We start from the raw sequence: 2,545 nt of genomic DNA, 5'->3' as shown, positions 1-2,545 counted from the left end.
GGGGAGGGAGGGCAGGGAGGGCAGGGTCTGTTGACAGTCCCTTACCAAGGGTTCTGGGGCCATCTTTATGGATCTGAGTAAAAAACACTTTGACTTTGAGCCACACTTCAAACAGCAGCCACCCGTAGCCAGCGCTCTGTTAGCAGTGAAAGGGGGATTTGGGAGCTAAGGAGAGGCCAGAGAGTAAGGAGCAAATAAAGGGGCGGGATGGTGGAACAAGTTTTCTCTTCAAAGAAATGCTTCTCATTTTTGTTTCTTTCTGTATGTAACCCACACATCCTCAACAGTTCTGAGAGGTCTGGTGCCCTCAGAAATGATTTGCATGTGTGTGCATATGTGTGTGCGCTGTGTGTATGTGTGTGCCTGTGTGTATGTTTGTGTGTGTGCATGTATGTATGTGCACACCTGCATGTGTGTATTTGTGTGTGGGGGTGGGTGTGCCCATGTGTGCGCATGTTTGTGTGTGTGCATGTGTGTGCGTGTGTGTGTGCGTGTGTGTTTGTGTGTGTGTGTTTGTGTGTGTGCGTGCATGTACGCACTGATAGTATATGCTGTGCTTCACATGTTTCACACTGCAGTCTTTCGGGGAGGAAAGGCCCTTTAGGACTTTGAACTTGTTCCTGGAGGATGGAGCTAAACAGTAGCCCTACCCCATCAGCTCTCCCGTCGTGGGGCTGGGGATTGACCTCACCTAGGCCAATAACTAGGTTGAAGGGGTAAGAGGAGCCCAGCCCACATCTGGATGCCTACACACAGAAACACAGACACACACGCTATCCATTTCTTCTCCATTTCCTCCTTACTGTTATTTCACAGGGCCTGACACATGACGCACAGGCTTGCTCCCTCATGAAAGGGCTCCTGATGCAATCGCACATCCTGATACGCCTTCGCTCACCTCCCTCTGCCTGCCCCGCCTCCTGGTTTTCGGATTGTGCCTTTCACATCCCTCCCCACCCCTTTGAGTTGTGCTTATTGGCAGATGGATTGGATGCACTCCTGTGTGGTGAGCCCCACCCCATAAGCTTTGCCAGCGTCCCTAAGGGGAAGCTTTTCTGAAGAATGTGGGTACCCCCATGGCCCAGGAACCAGGGCTGAACTGCCTGGTCATGGTTAACGCAGCATTTGGTCCATTGGGAAGACTGAACGTTCCCATACTTAGGATATATTTATGGCTTTCCTGAACCCATGCATTCAGGGCCATACCTATCTGATTCCTTAAAAAAAAAAAAAATTCCGGTGGTGCCTTTGCAAACATGCAGGCTTCCATTTGTCCTAGCCGCAATTCCCGTCCCATAGGCAGGAGGATTTCAGCAGCCCGTCAGGGAAGGGCTCAGCCCCTCCTGACACTTGACACTTGGAAGAAGCTCAGAAAATGTTAGCTAAATCTGAATCAAAGTGCGCTTGTCCGCACAGAGCTCAGCACAGCCTGTTCCTCCAGATGAGGGCTCTGTCAGGCAGCTGTCAGTCAGCCCGCAGCGGCAGCCTGGGGCGAGTGGGGCAGGACAAATGCAATGTGCTCCCACTGCACTGAAGCGCGTTCAGAGGTGAGAGGAAGACACTGAATAATTTACTCCTATTCTGTCGTCCTGTGTTTTGTTACCAAAGGGGCTGTTCCTGGGAATGTGGCATGCTGTGAACTCCCTTCCAACGCATACAGGGGTTCAGGCTTGCAGGCATGGGGGTCACGGAGGCGAAGCGCCCCTTAAGATGTTCCCTCCCACCCTGCTGTCTGGGGGCATGATGTCACCTGCGTGTCTGGATGGAGGGCGTCTTGCGACTGGCACTTCTGCCACATCACAGAAGACGACGTGATCAAATAGAGCCACGGGGCTGCTGCAGGAGGGGCGTGGTGGAAGTTCTCTCACACCTGGAAAGAGACCCAGGAAGAAATGGCTCTCACGGCGACCTATAACACGGTGTGAGTGGGACGTAGAGGGAAATGAGGGACCAAGTCCAGGATTCAGGGGTGATTGCCCCCTCCTACATGGTGGGATCCCTAGGGTTGCTTTCAAAGACTTGACCACAGCTTCTCTCCCATGCACTGCCCATGATCCAGGCGGGGCATGCTGTGCTCACTGCTTCACCACCTCCCGTGGTTTCTGAAACTCCCCTTTCTACTGAGTTCTTTCTGTGGGATGCAGAGCCACACAGAAGCACCGGACGTGCCTCACTGTCCTTCTCTCGGCCCGAGGCTTGCAGTCCAGCCTGGCTTCCCGACATGTGTCCAGCGGTTGGCGGTGGCTGCTATCTCTGGGCCACCCTCGATGTTCCCCCCAAGGCTCACTCCTGCAGCCCTTCCTATCTGAGCTGGCTCTGAGGGTCACTGACACACACTCCTGCGTCAGCCCCTGGCATCCCGCCGGAGCTCCGTAAGATGTTTCCCCTCCCCTGTGAGATCCGTAAGTGTGCAAACTGCATTCCAGCACTATGCTTGGTCTATTTTAATTAACAAATTAATTAAATCAAAGGTATATATCTGTGAACTTGCTTCACCCAGGACGGTTGTCAATACCTGTTGGTCTAGGCAGTTCTCTGACACTGG

At 53.1% G+C, this 2,545-nt stretch overlaps 2 annotated features.

Annotated features, from left to right (window-relative positions):
- Positions 1,304-1,818: an enhancer, noted in NCBI's record as "H3K4me1 hESC enhancer chr20:59443930-59444444 (GRCh37/hg19 assembly coordinates)". NCBI's record gives its function as "activates a minimal SCP1, AML or CMV promoter by ChIP-STARR-seq in naive H9 embryonic stem cells {active_cell/tissue: H9 hESC(naive)}" and the evidence as "EXISTENCE:reporter gene assay evidence [ECO:0000049][PMID:30033119]".
- Positions 1,819-2,334: an enhancer, noted in NCBI's record as "H3K4me1 hESC enhancer chr20:59443414-59443929 (GRCh37/hg19 assembly coordinates)". NCBI's record gives its function as "activates a minimal SCP1, AML or CMV promoter by ChIP-STARR-seq in naive H9 embryonic stem cells {active_cell/tissue: H9 hESC(naive)}" and the evidence as "EXISTENCE:reporter gene assay evidence [ECO:0000049][PMID:30033119]".

This window comes from Homo sapiens, chromosome 20 (genome assembly GCF_000001405.40).
Source record: "Homo sapiens chromosome 20, GRCh38.p14 Primary Assembly".
Lineage (NCBI taxonomy): Eukaryota > Metazoa > Chordata > Mammalia > Primates > Hominidae > Homo > Homo sapiens.
Note: the sequence above shows the minus strand (reverse complement) of the source record. Positions and strands in the feature narration are given on the sequence as shown.